This window comes from Homo sapiens, chromosome 3 (assembly GCF_000001405.40).
Source record: "Homo sapiens chromosome 3, GRCh38.p14 Primary Assembly".
Classification (NCBI taxonomy): Eukaryota; Metazoa; Chordata; class Mammalia; order Primates; family Hominidae; genus Homo; species Homo sapiens.
The window spans coordinates 70736474-70755316 of record NC_000003.12 but is presented as its reverse complement, the minus strand read 5'-3'; the positions used below and the strand labels follow the sequence as shown (position 1 = coordinate 70755316).

At 38.9% G+C, this 18843-nt stretch overlaps 2 pseudogenes, besides 1 other annotated feature; both read right to left on the bottom strand.

The window, feature by feature from the left end:
* Window positions 744–1463, bottom strand: HMGB1P36 (high mobility group box 1 pseudogene 36; annotated as a pseudogene).
* On the bottom strand, window positions 3794–4259 carry COX6CP6 (cytochrome c oxidase subunit 6C pseudogene 6; annotated as a pseudogene).
* Window positions 17065–17359: a silencer, noted in NCBI's record as "tiled region #3883; HepG2 Repressive DNase matched - State 24:Quies, and K562 Repressive non-DNase unmatched - State 24:Quies". NCBI's record gives its function as "represses a minimal TATA promoter and a strong SV40 promoter by Sharpr-MPRA in HepG2 and K562 cells {active_cell/tissue: HepG2 | K562}" and the evidence as "EXISTENCE:reporter gene assay evidence [ECO:0000049][PMID:27701403]".

Sequence of the window (18843 nt, the reverse complement as noted above, 5' to 3'; positions counted from 1 at the left end):
ACAACCCCCTTGTACTTAGAGAATGATTTGATCTGAAGATCACTAAGTATTTTGGAAACACTCACGCAAGCGCACTGACAAATGTACCAAGGAACAAATAAGGAGTACAGGTTCACCTGCTCAGTTTAACTTTTATTGAGCACTTATTAGGAACCGAATTCTAAGCCGAGTGATGAGCAAAGTGAGAAGGTAAGGAAATTAGAAAAGAAGCAGTGAGATGACCAGGATTAGAATCTGACACAAAATGTCACATGCTTTGAAATTTCTATACCCTGTTCCAATTTTTTATTTATTCTAAATAAAACATTGTATTTACTTGAAGCATTAAGGATGTCAACAAAACAGCTGCATCTTTTTTTGCAATTACAGAGTGGTATTCAGGTCACAGAGTGACAATTGTTTCGTGTAAATTGCATCAGAGACAATTGAAGATGAAAAAACTGTCATCCCCGTATATAACAAATTTGTGCTGTGCACCAACGAGAACCTGTTTTAGTCTTCCTTGCCAATTTGCAACCCCATACTACACCAGGCAAGGTTAGTGGCTACTGAAAATGCCACTGGCACTGGGGCTATCTAAAGACACATTTCCTAGTGTGCCACCTCTACAAAAGACACTTTGCAATTTAAAAACAAACCTTACACAGCCTTTTATTTTAATGTTTTCCTTTAAAAAGAATGAGTAGTGTGTAGGGAGGTACAATGCTTTATAGACAAGGAAAAAAACTGCTAGGGCCAACTTATTCATCATCTTCATCTTCCTCTTCTTTTTCTTGCTTTTCTCTGCCTTGATGAGTCAATTTTTTGTTGCATCAGGCTTTCCTTTAGCTTGGTATGTAGCAATATCCTTTTCTTATTTTTCCTTCAGCTTGGCAGCCTTTATTTTCATTAAATTTTTTTTTCATAGAGATGGGGTCTTGTTATATTGTCCAGGATGGTCTTGAACTCCTAGCCTTAGCAGTCCCCCTGCCACAGCCTCCCAAAGTGCACCATTACAGGCATGTGCCACAATGCCTAGCTGCACCTTTTCATGAGGTTGCTTGCCATCTGCAGCAGTGTTACTCTACATCTCTATCAGTTTCCTTGCAGCATCACCAATGGATAGGCTGGGATGTTCTCCTTTGCTTTTGGGGCAATACTCAGAACAGAAGGAGAAAAAGGCCAAAGGAGGCTTCTGGGGTGCATTGGAATCCTTGAACTTTTTTGTTTCTCCTTTAGAAGAAATATAGTTGTTTTCTTTTTAATTAAATAATGGGCCTCGTCTGCCTTTGCTGTGTCTTCAAATTTTCCTTTCACCTTAGCAGACATGGTCTTCCACCTCTCTGAGTGTATCTTAGAAAACTGTAAGGAGGAGTTGGCTGAAGCACCTGGGTGCTGCTTCTTGAGCTCCTTTTGACAAGTTTACACAAAGAACACGTATAATGACATTCACCTCTTGGTGTCATAGGATCTCCTTTGCCCATGTTTATTTTTCCTCAGTGAGGCACACAGGAACCCAGTGCCTGTCCAGCTCACTTGCCTCAGCGCCATCTCTAATGGAAGCTAGAGGGAGCCTCCTCACTCTCTCCAATCTGTCTGTCCCAAGTGTACGAAGTAAAAGCTTAGTACATGACAACAGCAAATTCCTTTATTTGCTCATTAACAATAGAAGGAATTGGAGTAGGATTTTAATGGGTATGGAATAAATTGAAAAAAAAATCAAGCCCAAAATGTCATATAATGGAAATAACTAGAAACTTTTTTTTTTTTTTTTTTTTTTTTTTGAGACGGAGTCTCGCTGTGTCACCCAGGCTGGAGTTCAGTGGCGTGATCTTGTCTCACTGAAAGCTCTGCCTCCCGGGTTCACGCCATTCTCCTGCCTCAACCTCTCAAGTAGCTGGGACTACAGCCGCCTGCCACTATGCCCGGGTAATTTTTTGTATTTTTAGTAGAGACGGGTTTTTCACCGTGTTAGCCAGGGTGGTCTTGATCTCCTGACCTCGTGATCCGCCCGCCTCAGCCTCCCAAAGAAATAACTAGAAACTTTTATTCTTCATTTGTATTTTGTATTTATGATACTACATTCCCTTTTGAAAGCAAAATGCATTTTCTCATTTTTCTTCTGTGTATGTATGCTGATGAGGAAGGGTCTGGGTGAGAGCTCAGAGTCAAGGCTAGAGTAGTCAAGTAATGTCACAGGTTTTCTTGACTGCCTCTTCCTCTTCTAAAGCAAGCCCTGACCCACTCCACTACACCCCAGTAAGCAAATGGAAAACTAGATGGAGTTCAGAACCAAAGACTGGTTCAGGCTGCCTGAGTAGACCCCAGTGGCATTCCTCAGGAGCTCTGTGACAGAGGGCAAGGACTCAGCCTCTTCGGCCCTCTATTTCCTCATCTGTTGATGTGGTTTTGTTGTGTCCCTACCCAAATCTCATCTCAAAGTGTAATCCTTACATGTCAGGAGAGGGACCTGGTAGAGGTGATTGAATCATGGGGGCAGACTTCCCCCTGGCTGTACTGGTGACTGTGAGTTCTCATGAGATCTGGTTGTCCGAAAGTGTGTGCTTCACTTTATTTCTCTCCTGCTCCACCATGGCAAGACGTACTTGCTTCCCCTTCACCTTCCGCCATGATTGTAAGTTTACTGAGGCTTCCCAGTCATACTTCCTATATAGCCTGTGAAACTGTGAGTCAATTAAACCTCTTTTCTTCAAAAATTATCCAGTCTCAGGTAGTTCTTTATAGCAGTGTGAGAACAGACTAATACATCTGTTAAAAGGGGATGATCAAAGAACTGATCTCCTAGGGTGGCTGTGCAGATGAAATGGATTCATCCAAGCAAAGCTTACAGCACAGTGTTTGGCACATGGAAAGGATTTGGTACGTGTTAGGTTCCCATTTGACCTGGTCATACTGTGTTTTCTGTGTCTCAGTAGAGTTTTGGCGCTTTTCCTTTTCCCCTCCGCCAGAGAGACTTAGCTATTCTTTATTCCACTTTCTCTCTAGTCCTGTCACTTCCCACCCCGCTACCCTGCCTTGTATTTCCTTATAGTATGCATCACATAAGACATATTACTGTCTTCCCACCCATGCTAATTATGATGACTCTCCTGTTTTTACAAATGAAGGAGTCACTTGTCTGTGGACTGGCTACTAGGGCCCAAGTCCTGTGGAAAAAAAAGAGACTGATTTGTCTTGTTGCCTGACGTATGCCCAGATTCTAGAATGGTGCTTGGCATAAGGAGGCCCTAAGTATATATTATTGGTATGCGTGAATAAGCTAGTCACTCCCAAGGGCTCTAATACTCTCAAGGGACTCTAGCACTTTAATACATCCTGCCACAAATCAGACCTGCAATTCCTTCTTCCTTGAATATATCGTGAAAATGCAGAACACGTTTAGGGATACTGATCTGGATTTGAAGAGACTCAAATGATGAAATCTACCCGGATTCATGATGGACATCGTTTCTTATGTATATCTGGTACCTTGAAATTCCGTCAGAACATTCTCCAACTCTCCCATACCCATGGGAAATGATTATAAACCAGCTACCTGGACACGCTAATTGTGGGTGCATATTGAACAATTTCAGAAAATGTGTAAAAGCAGGGAAGTTTCAGACTAAAATGTTTAATATCAGATTTGCTCTAAACATTCAAATTCTGGCAATACTGGGCACACAGTCTTGGGTATCAATTAGCTAGCTAGCTTTAAGAGGCTGTATCCCCAGTTAGATGGAATATTTCTCTCCAGTTTACTACTGTCCCTGCCCCTTCTTACTGTCTTCCTGCAGTGTAAAGAAGTATCAGTTGCAATTTATCATTGCAATTGTGCAATCTTTCCTAAGATTGGAAATCTCTCTTTTTTTTTAATCAAGAGAAACAATTTCTTAGTTTACATAGTCATGTTTCATAGTTCAGGAACACAGGTCAGTGACAAAATTCTATGTAACTCAACCCAAAGACTTTCTTTATATTCCCAAATCACTTTGTCCTCTGAAAGATACCAGCCTTCCTCATCTCCTCAAAATCTTTCATGGAATCATAATTTCTGCAGAAATCTGTGTATGCCTTCTTTCTTGGTTCAGCCACAGCAAACTTAAAGAGAGCTACAACCCCCAGGGATACAACAAATACTCCAATAATATGAAATCGCAGATGCTTGGCCCAAAGTCCATGCATCTGAGGTTTTGTTAAAGCACTGGAAGCCATGGTAGTTATCGTCCTTGACAGGTATGTCAACCTTAACACCAACGTCTTTCCTGGCTGATGGAGAATTGGATGCAGCCAAGATCAGAAATCTCCTGCTCAAAAGTAGGAAAACAGAAGACTCGGTGCTTTAAGAAAATGGGAGACATTTTTTAAAAAAGGAAATAGGGACTGTTCTGACATGTTTGCTATGAAATTATCCAGCAGTTTTGACTCTTAGTGTTACCTGGCCCCTCTAGGAATCTGAGTTTGCTATTCTGCCTTAGGGAGGGGTCCTCTAGATTGGATCACTCAGTCATCTTAGGTTTCTGCTAAATTGATGAGTATTTTTTATCCTTGCTGATGCAAGCAAGATATGTTTGAGTGTCAATTTGTTTTATACAACCAGTGCTTTGAGGAGTAATTCTGCAGGATATTAATTCACAAAAAGTTGTGAGAAATTGCTGCTTCTCCAGGTTCAGAAATGATCATCTGATTTTAATTCATTAGAGCATTTTATTTCTGATTATATTCTTATAATATTCTGATTATATTCTTCTACTAGGGTATGTTTCAACCAGTCACCATGAGTAGTAAGTACTGTGGGGAAAATGGGTTCATGGTTAAGACTAGAAAACCTAGGTAGAAATCAAGTTCCACATGCTTCTTTACTATGAACTATCTTTGCTTAAAACAAAAACAAAAACTGCCATTGTGAATCCTCAAAGGACTAAAGGCTCAGTGGGATTGGAGGAGGTGGTATGTATTATTTTTCAAGCTTTTAAAATTTGGATATAGACCTCCCACTTTTTTAATAACAAAAGATCAGTTGGGCAAATATTATGGTTTTTGATCTTTTATTCTGCATAGAGTACATTCCCTACATTTTGTAGATCCACTTTAGCTGAATCCATGAGGCAATAACACAGAGTTATCACTCACATCCTGGATTCCCAAGGACAGCACTTATCTAAAACATGCTAGACAGACTTTAAGTAGTAACTGTTAATGTCTCACGTTCATTAAAATCTTCTTATTGCAAGGCATTATACTAGATAGTTTCTCTCTATATTGTCTCTCTTCATCTTCCCAACAACTCCTAAGGCAGGTAAATATCATCCCCATTTTACAGATTATAAACTGAGGCATTGGGACATTAAATAGTTTACCTAAGATCCTACCTAGTATGAGTGAACTGAAACCATCAGAAAATATTTCATGTATATGTGTTTTGTGGACATCTGTTCTCTTTAATGATATAATGAAGTAGCTAGCATTTATTTAAATGCTTATTATGAGTCAGGCACATATGGGTTTTATAGGTACAGTATTACCTAATTTAGTCCTCCCAGAATGACTAAGTGCTACTATAATTCTCCAGTTTACAGATTAGAAATGGAGGTCAAGAGAACGCACCATCACACCGTCAGCAACTTGTGGGACCAACTCCCTGCACATCTGGGATGCTGACATCCGTGCACTTAACTGCTATTCTTAATGCTCCAGAGATACCCGTTGAGCATCTGTTCCCAACAAAGTTTCCTGAAAAATACTGATATCTAACCAGGGTTTAAAAGCACACAAGAAAATGGAAGGATGCTTACCTCAAGCATCAGAACTGTATCTCTAAGACAAACAGAGAAAAATTTCAGTCTTTTAACAACTTCAGTGGGTTTTTCTTGTCTTTCAGTGTGTTTATGTGTCTGTTTTATTCCTTGTGCAGCTTCTGCCTACTCGATTTTCCCTATCAAAAAAAAATAATAACTTGTCTTAAAACTTGTCTCAATGAATTCTGTGTGAGAAATTGCACAACCAGCTGGCCACCACTGCTCTCTGACACGTGGCTGCAGCCACTGGGGAAAAGTTGGTGTCTCTGTTTCTGTTGATGTCTTCCTTCAACTGGAAGGGGGTGTCTCAGCTGTAAGGTGTGCCCACCTTGTGATAAAGAGGTCGACAGATTCCTCAAGACTGTAACAAAGGCCTAGAGAAAGGCATGCTTGGAGAGAAAATTGGAAGTGAACGTCAGAGCTTTACAAAAAGCTCCCAAAGTAGGCCCTTGTAAACGTGAATAATGAGCTGCATAGACTAGTTCCTTCATGCTGAGCTCAACACACATCTTTAAACATAAGATTGTCGAGGAAGCAGATACTCGGAAACCCTTTCATCTTAATTAAAGTTATGTGGGCTACCAATACTTTTCCTTTATATTAAGCTCTTATTCCTGTGGAGAAATTTCTATTTGTTTTTATCTAATTTGAGCTTCAAGGTTAATCTCGGTTTAAGACTTTCACTCACTGGGAGAGACGGTCCATCCGGTTCGCCCCTGATTCCATGTATATGCATGCCTCCACCAGGACCCTGCTGGGCTCCAAAGCCTCTTGCTGGCTGTGCATTCTTTACAGTGTTCCCTTCCACAGAAAGAATGGGCTGTGTATCTGGGAAGGATATATGGAATGGGGAGGATTTTGAAAAAGGTCACAAAGCTTTCTATTTTAGGGAACCACATGCCGCAATCCTTAAATGTGGAGTTTCTGATAAAACTTAGCTCTGTGATACAGAGTCTGAGATTTGCATGGTGGGGAAACAAGAGGAAGAGGGAGACATTGGAGACAAAGGAGGGGAATACGTTTCATTCCAAAAAAGAGTCTACGTAGACTTTGAAACAACTGGTGGATCGGCTTGCTTGGCATGCCAAGCTCCTGAATTGTCTTCAGTAAATAGGTTGGATTGAAATAGTTTGATTGAACTGATGATGGCAGTGACTTGCTCTTTTAATTTCAAAGAAAAAGTGAAAAATCATATATAAGTTGCAGAAGATCTAACTTAGGATCTAATTGGAATTTCTTAGATTTTTTTTTTGAGTGTCTGCCCTCCCTGCAAGATAGTAAGGTATCTTAAATGTAATTATGTCATCAGTGCTTGAGAAATAATACATGCTGAAAGTTGGCGAAATAAAGGTAGATTCTGATGCAGCTGGTCTCAGCCACACCCTGAGACTATGCACGTGACAGACATCATTATCTATCATGGTACTCTTTCCACCTGTAGCTAGATGCAAACTCAAAACCCTTAACAATGACCTTCAGCTACAAGAATGATGCAATCAACGTTGTCATGAGAGATGAAGACTATTTATCACAGTGTGCCCAAAATTACAGTTTTCTAAGGTATCGCAAAAATATCAGGTCTTCATGTACTATGTACAACTCACTTTCCTTCTGAGATTGACCTCATTCTCCTTCCCTCTTCTCAATTTTATACATAGCCTCCATCAGTTGGCTCAGAATTCCATTTGCACTTCTTTAGCTTGCCTCCAGGAATTTATAATGGCACAAATCCATGAAACTTCTGGTAGGCCGCTGACTCAAGAGAGAACAGAATTCCGATTAAGATATTCACAATTATATCATCACGAGTAAGAATGGTATTGAAAAGGTTTCCATAGTTAGCGCATAAAGGTGTACCTCTAGCAAATCCAGTTTTCATCTAAGGGAACTAGGATTGCTGCACATACAATGATCTACTTTGAGTCATGAAACCTGGATTCATGTTCTGGGTGCCATTGCAATTGTGTGACCTTGGGAAAGTTATCAGAGCCTCAATCTTCTCCAGGTTTGAGGAAAATGGGCTCTATGCTTACCATCATCTCTTCGTGGGTCTGTTCCACCACTAACATGACAGTGTGAAAAGGAGTTATGTCATTATATAAGCAGGAATAAAGATATTTTATAGTATCAGCTTCTCATTCATACATCCAAGGCCAGAGTGAGCCAAAGAGAAAAGAAGGGAGAACCCAGAGCAGGGAACTCAGAACTCAAGCATATTCTCGTGGCATGGAAGATGAACCCTTTGTAATAAGAAACCAGCATCTCTCCCCTTCCTGGGTTTCTGAAACAGAATCTAGATAATATGGAAAGAGGCTGGTGGGATTCCAAGGGCTTTTGACTCATGGCTCACTTCAGTGAAGGTTAAGCTGTGGGTAATAACTTTTAAAAAGTTAGTGGCTTGGGAGGCCAAGGCAGGTGGATCACCCATGGTCAGGAGTTCGAAACCAGCGTGGCCAACATGGCAAAACCCCGTCTCTAATAAAAATACAAAAATTAACTGGGTGCAGTGGTGGGTGGCTGTAATCCCAGCTACTCAGGAAGCTGAGGCAGGAGAATCACTTGAACCTGGGAGGCAGAGGTTGCAGTGAGCCGAGATCAGGCCATTTGCACTCCAGCCTGGGCTACGGAGTGAGATTCCATCTCCAAAAAAAAAAAAAAAGATAGTTTGCAATTTTTTTCCATATTGAGTAGCAATAAAAACCTTGCAATATCAATTTCACCACATTTGGAGTCAGTCTATTTTTTTTAACATTATCATTATTTTTAATTAAATTATTTTGAAAAGGAAATTTATGTAGTGGTTCAAAAATAACAAAAAAGATAGGTTACTAATAAGGTCACCTCATTTGCTTGTGTGCCCTTGAATATACGTAAATATAAATACATAATTCCCTTCCTTTAAAAACACATGTTCTAATTCTCTCTTGCTTAAACATTTTTTTTTTTAGTTCATTCAACATGCCTTGGGATTTTTCTAGTCAGTTCTTGAGAAGTTTCTTATTTAACCTTAAAAATTTTAAACATTGATATAACAGCTCATTACATAGCTGTATCATTATTTTATGAGACAGGGGTCTTGCTATGTGGCCAAGGCTGGATTTGAACTCCTGGGCTCAAGCTCCTACTCTCAGCTACCTGAGTAGCTGTGACTACAGGTGTGCACCACCATGCCCAGCTCCCTTTTTAATTTAACTGGTCCTACTAATGGCCATTTAGGTTGTTTCTTTTTCTTTTTTTGCTATCACAGACAATAACTGCAATGATTCTTATTTACATATCATTTTCCATGTGTGCAACTAGGACAAAGTCCAAAAAGGAAAATTATTTAGATCAAAGGATACATGCATTTATAATTTTGATAGATATTGCCAGATTGCTTCCATAGGGGTTATTTGAATGGACAATCTCACCAGCAATCACAAGATTGTCTATTTCTCCTGGCTTTCCAACAGGAACTTTGTAAAACTCCTTTGTACATACACAAAAGTACAACAAATTTGCAAACTTAACACATCCTTAAATCAGTACCCAGATTAAGAAACAGAACATTCTCATGATCCCAGAATCCCCCTTCCAGCTCTATTCACTATCCACCCCCAACCTCAAGGGAACTTCTATTCTGACCTCTAAGAGCACAGATTAATTTTCCAACAGTTGGGAAATTTTTAAATGATTACATTAAAACTTGTTTACCCTAAAAATATTCATTGTTTTACTAAACATACTACTTACCTTGGCTCTAAAAGTACAGACAATTCCATCAGAACACCTTTTCACCCATCACTTGCCTTTTTCCTAAACAACTCCAATAAAGAACTTCTCATTCTTTTACAAGGACATTTGAGACAATATCCAACCCTGCCTATTATATTTGGGTCAATCTATTGTAGCGAATCACTTTTGTCTTTTTCAAATTAGAAAGCTGAGAGAATATATAATAATTTTTGCTAAGTTTAACAAAGTTTTTGACATGCTTTCTGACTTCAAATATAGTGATATGGAGTAAATGGAATTTATTTTAGCAGAACTTTAGGGGAAGCCCAGAGAAATAATCAACCTTATGTCAGAGAACTTTAAATGGAAATAGAACAAAAGCAAGTACTATTTGAGGGGAAAAAACCATATGCAAGAATGTGTTGTGGGCCAACCAAACTAACAAGGGGTTTTGTGAACCTAATTCAAATATCGGAGGGCAGCTGGGTGCGGTGGCTCATGCCTGTAATCACAGTATTTTGGGGGGACGAGGTGGGAAAAACACTTGAGGTCAGGAGTTCGAGGCTGGCCTGGCCAACATGGTGAAACCCCGTCTCTACCAAAAAAAAAAAAAAAAAAAATTAGCTGGGCGTGGTGGCATGTGCCTGTAATCCCAGGTACTCAGGAGGCTGAGGCGGGAGAGTCGCTCGAACTTGGGAGGTGGAAGTTGCAGTGAGCTGAGATCACACCACGGCACTCCAGCCTGGGCGACAGAGTGAGACTCCCTCTGAAAAAGAAAAAAAAAAGTCAGAGGGCACATGCTCTATATAGCAGGTGTTGGGTTGTGATAAAGAAGCTTCATGCATAGGCAACTCTAAGATCTCCCAGAGTGACTAGCAGCAGGTATTAATTTAAGGATGTCTGGTGATTCTCCACAGCAACAAAACAGAATCTGGCTGGTAATAAATAAGATACTGCTCTGTACCGCTTCCTCCATCTGAAATTTCTACACTGCTGATATTGTATATTCTTATCTCTTATCTCCGTGCCTGCAGGCTTCCATGACATTCCTATGAATATCCTGGTCTGCTCTTTGAATTCTTACCTTCTTAATATTTCCAGTTCTCCTTTATCCTTTTTCTATTGAGACAGCCTAGCATAGTCAACAGTCGCCTGAACTAGTGGTGCAGTACCTTCTGAAGGAATCCCAAGAATTTCATGGGAAAAAACACATAGAAAATATGAGAATCTGCCTATCTGATTTCCCTGAAGACCTGCCAACTTATTAATGTGAAATAACTAGACTGTAAGTTCTGTAGACTATAGTCATTTTATTTATTGTCTCTGTTTCGTTACCAGAAAGATTTTAAATGACTTACAAAGCCATACTATACAGTAAGAGAAGATAGAAATATGAAAGATGAGAAAAAGAAACAATATGGGCAGTGACATTAGATGAAATGGAGAAGTAGAGTTGAACTACAAATGTTCATCATCACGAATGTCCACCCTTAGAAAAGGATTTTTATGATGTTTAATTTGGGGATTGCCTATGCATGAAGCTTCTTGATCACAACCCAACACCTGCAATATAGAGCACGTGCCCTCTGACTTTCTTTTTTTAATTAATTAATTTTTTTTTTTTTGAGAGAGAGAGTCTCACTCTGTTGCCTGGACTGGAGTACAGTGGTGCGATCTCGGCTCACTGCAACCTCTGCCTCCCAGGTTCAAGCAATTCTCCTACCTCAGCCTCCTGAGTAGCTGGGATTACAGGTGCATGCCACCACACCCACAAATGTACATTCTTTCACAATGTGGATGACAAATCTGATTATAAAATTCTTGGCAGTTAACATCAATAGCAGAACATGACATTCTCCATGAGATAAACACAAATCAGCTCTTTAGCAGGGGCAATGTTCTTGATACTAAGACAAGAAAGAAAAGCCTCCAAGTGTTTTCATAAAGAAGGTGCTTAGTAACATGAACAACAAGGTCTATGTAACAGGCGTAACAAAACATTTCTCAAGGCTCTAGCTTGTCCCTGTCTTCAGTACAGTAAGATGGCATTGTACCCAAGAGCAATGTGATTTAGGGTCATAGCTTTCCAATGATCAGAGGCAAATATGAGGTATTCCAGAAAAATGGATGAACCACATATGCATCATTAAAAAATGGTTCAAGGTAACTGTTGGCCCGGACGGTGGTTCATCTAGGTTTCTAGGTAGGTTTGGAGACATACATTTTAAGAGTTTGTTAAGCTGAGGAAAAATGGGTTGATATCATCTCATTAAAGAATAGGGTACTTAAGAAGGTCTCATAATTTTCCTGAAGATGATTCACCTGCTGCTCAGAGGTATTCAGAGTCCTGCATTTACCTGGGACCATGCCTAGGATTTTTCTTAGGAAATGATTTTAGATGGACCCTAACACAGTGAAAAGATGGATGATTAAAGGCCCAAAGAACTACACTCTACAGCTTGAGAACCATTTGAATTTACCTTATATTTAAAGGCAAGAAATCTCAAAATGTCCCCAGAGGATGTCTGTTGTCAGCCATGAGATTTCCTGGCGTTTTCTCCTGGATAAACTGACTGCACAACTATGTCTTACTCTAAAGACATAAATAAAATCTATACAATACATAATCTGTACAGTCATGTATTATCTTACTAGCTAAGTTCCAAATTAGACATCATAAAAATCCTTTTCTAATTGCAGAGTCTTCTCTGATGAACAGGAAACACAGTGTAGGCACTGAAACTCTAAGTATAGAAAAATATTCCTTAGCAGAATGAGATAAAATATAGATCTACTATTCTTTCTGCACTTGATCTTTTGTGTTTGATCATAAATGCACATTGTGAAGAGATGCCTTATACCTCCAAGCTAAACACTGTTTGCTACTCATTAGTGATTTATAAATGATATTTTCTCCCTGGTGACATATCTTTTGATATGATTCTCTAATAACATCCACCAATATTAAAATAAGAACATCCCCACGTATTGTGATCATCTTCAACCACATTTTCTCATGAAAATTAAATTTTAGCACACCATCTGATATTGTATGCATATATTTGTCTACCATCGTTATAAATCTCCTAAGGGTCTCTATAAAATGATAGTTTTGCCTCTTTGCAGTAATTCTACCTAATGCTCCAAAGCAAGAAACTAATTACATGCTGACTTTTCACTAACTTTGATCTTTCAAATATCATACTATGGAGGTTCTATAGGTAATCATATGATTACAATTCACTAAATGAGTTGAAATTAGCCATAAACCTTTTTATTTAAATTGTATTAACTGTTTCTTCAGTAATGTTGTCTGCACTTCTACTCTTTCCTACATAAGTTTGCCGATATAAGATTTCAAACTAAAATCTGATTATGGTCACTAATGTTTATAACAAATGCCTCATTATAACACCAGAAGCGCCAGTGAAGACGAATATGCAAAGAATTTCTTAAAATATGTTTGCGGAAAGGCCAAGGATAAACTATAGTGGTATAAAAAAAAGACTGAAATTTCTCAGGGGAATGTTTTAGTCAGCAAGAAAAAAAAAACAAAAACTCACTTGTGTTTTCCCATGGAGTTGGTGCAGTATTTCCTGGAAAAAAAAATGGAAGGCGATTGTTCCTTTCAGCATGCCATAGGAATATGCAGAGAAAGAAAGAAAAAAGAAATTCTGGATTTTTACTTGGAAAATGCCATATTGCTCACTCAAGACTGATGGGAATACTAAGGATTGCCTCTTTTTTTTAATGGCCACGTAATTCAATTTCACTTGTTTAAAACAATCAGTATTGTTCAAGATATTTAAGTTCTTGTTATAATTAATCTTTTATATGATGCTATTGTAGTGAATAATCTTATTTATCTAATAAAATTTAGTTGGCCCTGAATACTTTACCTTCATGCCATATTCAAAAAACTAGACCAGCGGTTCACAGCTCCTGGGTGACTTTGCTTCCCAGGGGATATTTGGAAATCTCTGAAGACATTTTTGGTTGTCATGCCTTAGGGGGTTTTACTGGCATCTATTAATAGTAGGTAGATGGCCGGGTGCAGGGGCTCACATCTGTAATCCCAGCACTTTGGGAGGCTGAGGTGGGCAGATCACGAGGTGAGGAGTTTGAGACCAGCCTGGCCAATATGGTGAAACCCCATCTCTACTAAAAATACAAAAGTTAGGCATGTTGGCATGCGCCTGTAGTCCCAGCTACTCGGAAGGCTGAGATAGGAGAATCGCTTGAACCCGAGAGGCGGAGGTTGCAGTAAGCTGAGATGGCGCCACTGCATTCCAGCCTGGATGACAGAGCAAGATTCCAACTCACAAAAAAAAAAAAAAAAAAAAAAAAAAAGGTAGGTAGAGGCCAGGGATGCTGCTGAACAACCTACAGTGCACAGGACAGCCCTTCAGAAGAAAGAACTACCCAGCCAGCCCAAATGTCAGTAGTGCTGAGGTTGAGAAACCCTTCCCTAGACCACATAAAATGAATCAAGTATAGATTAGTAATGACTTTGAGAAGCCTTCAATGAAGAAAGTCGAGCATTTTGAGTAGACAAAGTGGTTGTGAATTTCCTTTTTAAAAATGGACCCCAAAAAGTGTGGAAAGGAAACATTCCATTGTTTGGGAAACAAAACTCTACCTTTACCACGTTTATGGACGTTATTTATCTAATAACATTCGGAACCATACAAGATCCTGACCACCACATTCACATTAAAGCTGAGTAAACAAAGTGTGTTTTGACTTGTCATCAATCATGACATATGATCACAGGGAATATTGTGTGCAAGAGGCAGTTGTTTTATCTGGAGCCTCAGCTTTTAAAAAATTCAAAACGGTAAAGTTGTTTATTTGACACCATTCTTGACCTGACTGCAGTGTTTCTTTCTAAGGGAAAGTAAAACACACACTGCTTTCTGATTATTTGTAATCATATAGGAAGTCTATTTCTCTGGCAAACTTTGCTATGTTCCTGGGACCAGAAATAGGAAAAGCTTAAAAGAAACCCAAAACTTCCAAAGACTATGAGGTGAGCATAATTAAGCGTTAATTTCAAGCCAAGTGTACAACCAATCATGAGCTTTCATTTTATGAGTCTTCGGGAATATGAAGGATGCATTTAGCTCTGAGATTGCATCTCTTTGGAATCTTTTGGTCTCAAGAATGAAATTACATACCCAGGAATGATAACATGAGAACAGAGCTTCTGAAACACATCCACAACCTAACATACAAACCTTGGGCTTTGTGGAGGTGGTGCACCAGTCCTGTTTCAGACACATGCCTCACCTGTTTTCCAAACTTCACTTTCTTTGATCAGGTACCAATAGCAACTCCTTCCATTCTGTTTAAAGACTGTCTTTCATTACCTCTGGTGGCCTGGGAGTGTTTGTATGTTGTGGCATTAATGGGTCTTCCAGTGCAGTGCTGAGAGGCCCTGACTGGGAGGCACAAAAGTGGGTTCTAACCCTGGTTCTTCCCTTTACATACTGAGTGATTATCTGCAGCCACTTGGCTTTCTAGTCAATGATTGACGGATATAGCCCAAGGCATTCTTGGGTTGATACTTTGATTCTTTTGTACAAATGACATGCAAATTCAAAACTCATTTCTTTTTTTTGCAGGATACAATTACTTGTAACCTACTAAGACATTAAGGGCCTAGCTAAACCCTGGTTTTCATGAGCTAAAATTACCATTCATCAAGACTATCTCTAAGTGAGTTTGAGAACTCAGCATTTTGAGAAATGAAGCTACACTGCCTTTTCTCTATTCCACATGTACACACAGAGAAAATCCTAAGGGGCCCTGAGAAGTGGGTACTAGGACCATGTTTTTGGCTTATTTTTTTTTTCCTAAAATTGCTTATGTGGGACATGGAAAACAACACTACAATCACTACTCTCATGTGTTTCCTCATCCTCAAATTAAATTCAATTTAAAATCGCAGTTTTTACATTTAAAATTGCCTGTCATAACAATTGGACTACCAGACTTTAGAGATACATGGCAATGATGTTTTTTTAAAATAATAATTATTATTTTTCTTGAAAGGAAGGTGGGTACATCTACAAATTTAGGTCTACCTTACTTTCTCTAGGGTCAAGGAGACCTTGTGATGGGGTTGGAAAGAGAGGATAGTAACAAATCAGGCATTCTGCATTGTATAAGGAGGAAGTGATATTTTGGATGTAAGGATAGTCAATACATTTATTTTGATTCAACAAATTACTTTGATCCTACTTGCCTGAGGGACTTGATAGTTACTTTCTCTGCTTGGAATGTCACCATGCACCCTGCCAAATGCTACTTACCTTTTGGGACTCAGCTTCACACCCCCTCCTCTGTACTAGGAGGTCATTCTTTCCTCTGTCCAACCACTGCCCTAAGTATAAATCTACATACACAACTATTATGCTGTTCTGTGCTTTCAATAGCTTTGAAGTATGATTTCTATCATATCATAAAATCTACCAATTTAAAATATATGGTTCAATGATTTGTAGTAAATTTACAGCATGGTTCAGTCATCATCTCAATCCAATTTTAGAACATTTCCATCACACCAAAAAAGATCCCTTATGCCCATTCAGTCACTCCCCATTCTCACCCACCTCCAGTCCCAGACTACCAATAGCCTACTTTATCCTTCTATTGATTTCATGCCGTCTTACATTACTTCTTTGGGGGTATCCTTTGAGAAGACCGTAAGCTTCCTGAAGGCATGGCTCATACTTTTTAAAATAACATTTTCTTTCTAACTCTTAGCACAACTGTCAGGACACAGGTAATGAATAATTACAGTAATATTTATCAATACTTCCATTTATTTGAAGTATGCAATGAAGAACATTACAGATTCTAATTTAATCCCTGAAACAATCATTGAATAGGTACTATTTTTATCCTCATGCAGAGATAAGGCTATAGCCTTAGAGGGATTAAGTAATTTGCCCAGGGCCATGTCAGAATTTGAAGCCCAGGTTGTCTTGACTCCAAAGCTGAACACGAATGAATGAATCATAAGGATAGGAGTTCTTACTCTAGGACAGGATTTCTTAATTCTAGAGAGGATGCTAATAGAGGCCTCACTAATTTGTTTGTAATGGTTTAGGTACATATGGTATACATTCCTGTAGCACTATCAGAATTTCAAAAGTAGCCATGATGCAAAAATGATAGAGCCACCTTTCCTAGGTGCTGACCAGGGCTGCCTGAGTGGTGGGTGAGTCATGGTCCTTCAGTGTGCTTCATCCTACTAGGATAAAAAAGGTCGACAAAACTTCAGTGTTCTGTGTTATGTGGATCACTGTGTGAACAAGATTTTCTAAGAACTCACTTGTCTCAAACCTTATTCTGCGTTCAAAATAAGGAAGTTAGCCTTGCCTCGTGTGTATCAAAGGAAACACCTTCCCACTCTTTGCCCTTTCTTTGTTTCAAGCTGTCTGTCATGTCAATAAAGTTGTTGGGAAAAAAAAATTCGAATGGGAGAAAAGCTATAAATGGAGAACCCTTTAGATCCTTCCTTCTCCCTGGAGTAAACTCTTCCTTTTTCCCCAGAGCAGGGGTAAGTTAATTGTATTTGAATGAATAATTCTAATAAAGCAGTGACCTTTAATGCCAACTGGTGTTTTTAATTTTGATTCACTGTCAGTCACTCCAACGTGAACCACCTCAGGATGTGAGCAGTGGAAAGACCAGTATGTACACAGAGGAGAAAAACAAACACAGAGCTGGGTGCTGCTGGCAGGTAAACACGAATGGCAGATCTTACAATGAGATGCAGGGCAGAGACTCCTTACAAAGGAGCCAGAAAAATGCAGAAACTAATGAGAACCACACACATGCTGAACTCCATCTAAAAAAATCTCCTTCCTATCAAGAAGATAACAATTCATTGTTCATTGTGTGAAATGTAGAAAAGACAGAAAAGCAAAAATAGGAAATGGAAAAAAACCAAAATTCAAAATAAAAGCCCTCTGAGATGTCATCATGTGGAGAATCACTATGACTACTGTTAATATTCTGGAATATATCCTTCCAGTCTTTTTTCTATATTTACATACATATTTGAAGGTTTCATTTCACATTTATATATATATGTAAAATGTAAAATATGCTTCACATGTATACAAACATTAAATGTATATATATTCATATATATTTGAAAAGTTGAATTATACTGCACAAATTGCTTTGTCACTTGCTTGAAAATAATTCTTCAATTTTCTGTGCCTTAAACACACTTCAGTGATATGAATTGCAAAAATAGATGCCACTTTCTTATCGATAATAAAAAAGTTCAAATGGTACAGGGTCATCTAAGACAGATTTGAAAACTCAAATGCCTAAAGAAATTCGATATTAACCTAGGGCAGAGTTCTTTGGGGCTGTGGCAAGGAGAGTAGGTGCCCTGTCTCACTGAGGCAGCCACTATTCAGGCCCAACAAGAATGTGGATTCATTGTTACCTGTTCTTTAGGCTTTAAGCCAGAAAAGTGTATTTTGAGAAATCTTCCCATTTTTAAATAGTAGCAACTACTTTAAAACCCAAATATATTGTTGACCAAATAAAACATATCTCCAGGCTGGATTTGGCCTAGACATTGACAATTGTCAACCCTAAAGTAGAATGAATGGCTCCTCCCCTGGCCTGTCTCTCCCCTGCAGTCACCGTCACAACCAGTCTAACAATACAGGATTTATCCTTCCACAGAAGCTGGTTGGTTTTATGCAGTGTGTATTAAAATTTAAAGAGAATATAATATTCAACTTTAATTCTTTTCTCCCTTCACAACTTCAATAAATAGAAAAATAAAATAAGAAATATTTCTGGTATCTTCCTTCAGAGGGTCTCGTTCAAGGGATATTATAGTATTTGCCACGGAAGAGGCCTCCATATCAATATGTTTATGTATATTTTAATGGCATCATTAAAAGCATTGTTTTAACTCAAACATTTCTTGTGTATCTACTGTTTAGAAACAAATGAGACCACTCATTACTTTATAAGCACAAGGGTCTGTATGTATTTATCCATTCAGCATATAATTGAGTTCCTACTGTAGAGATGCTGCTCTGAGCATTAGGTGCAGAGAAGTGAAGAGACCGAAATGTGTGTGTGTGTGCGCATGTGTGTGTGCACGTGCACATGCGTGCTAGGGTGGGGTGGGCACGGAATAGATTACTAATCAGTATTCCCCATTCTCTACCACCAAAGAGACCCCATGTCATGGAGGAGAGGGCATGAGGGCCAAGGCCTCCTGTCAAAGCTACAGAAGAGTCTCAGCAAAGCAGCATCTCTTACCTTAACATTCCATGCATATGTTGGACTGTATTATATATCTTTGATT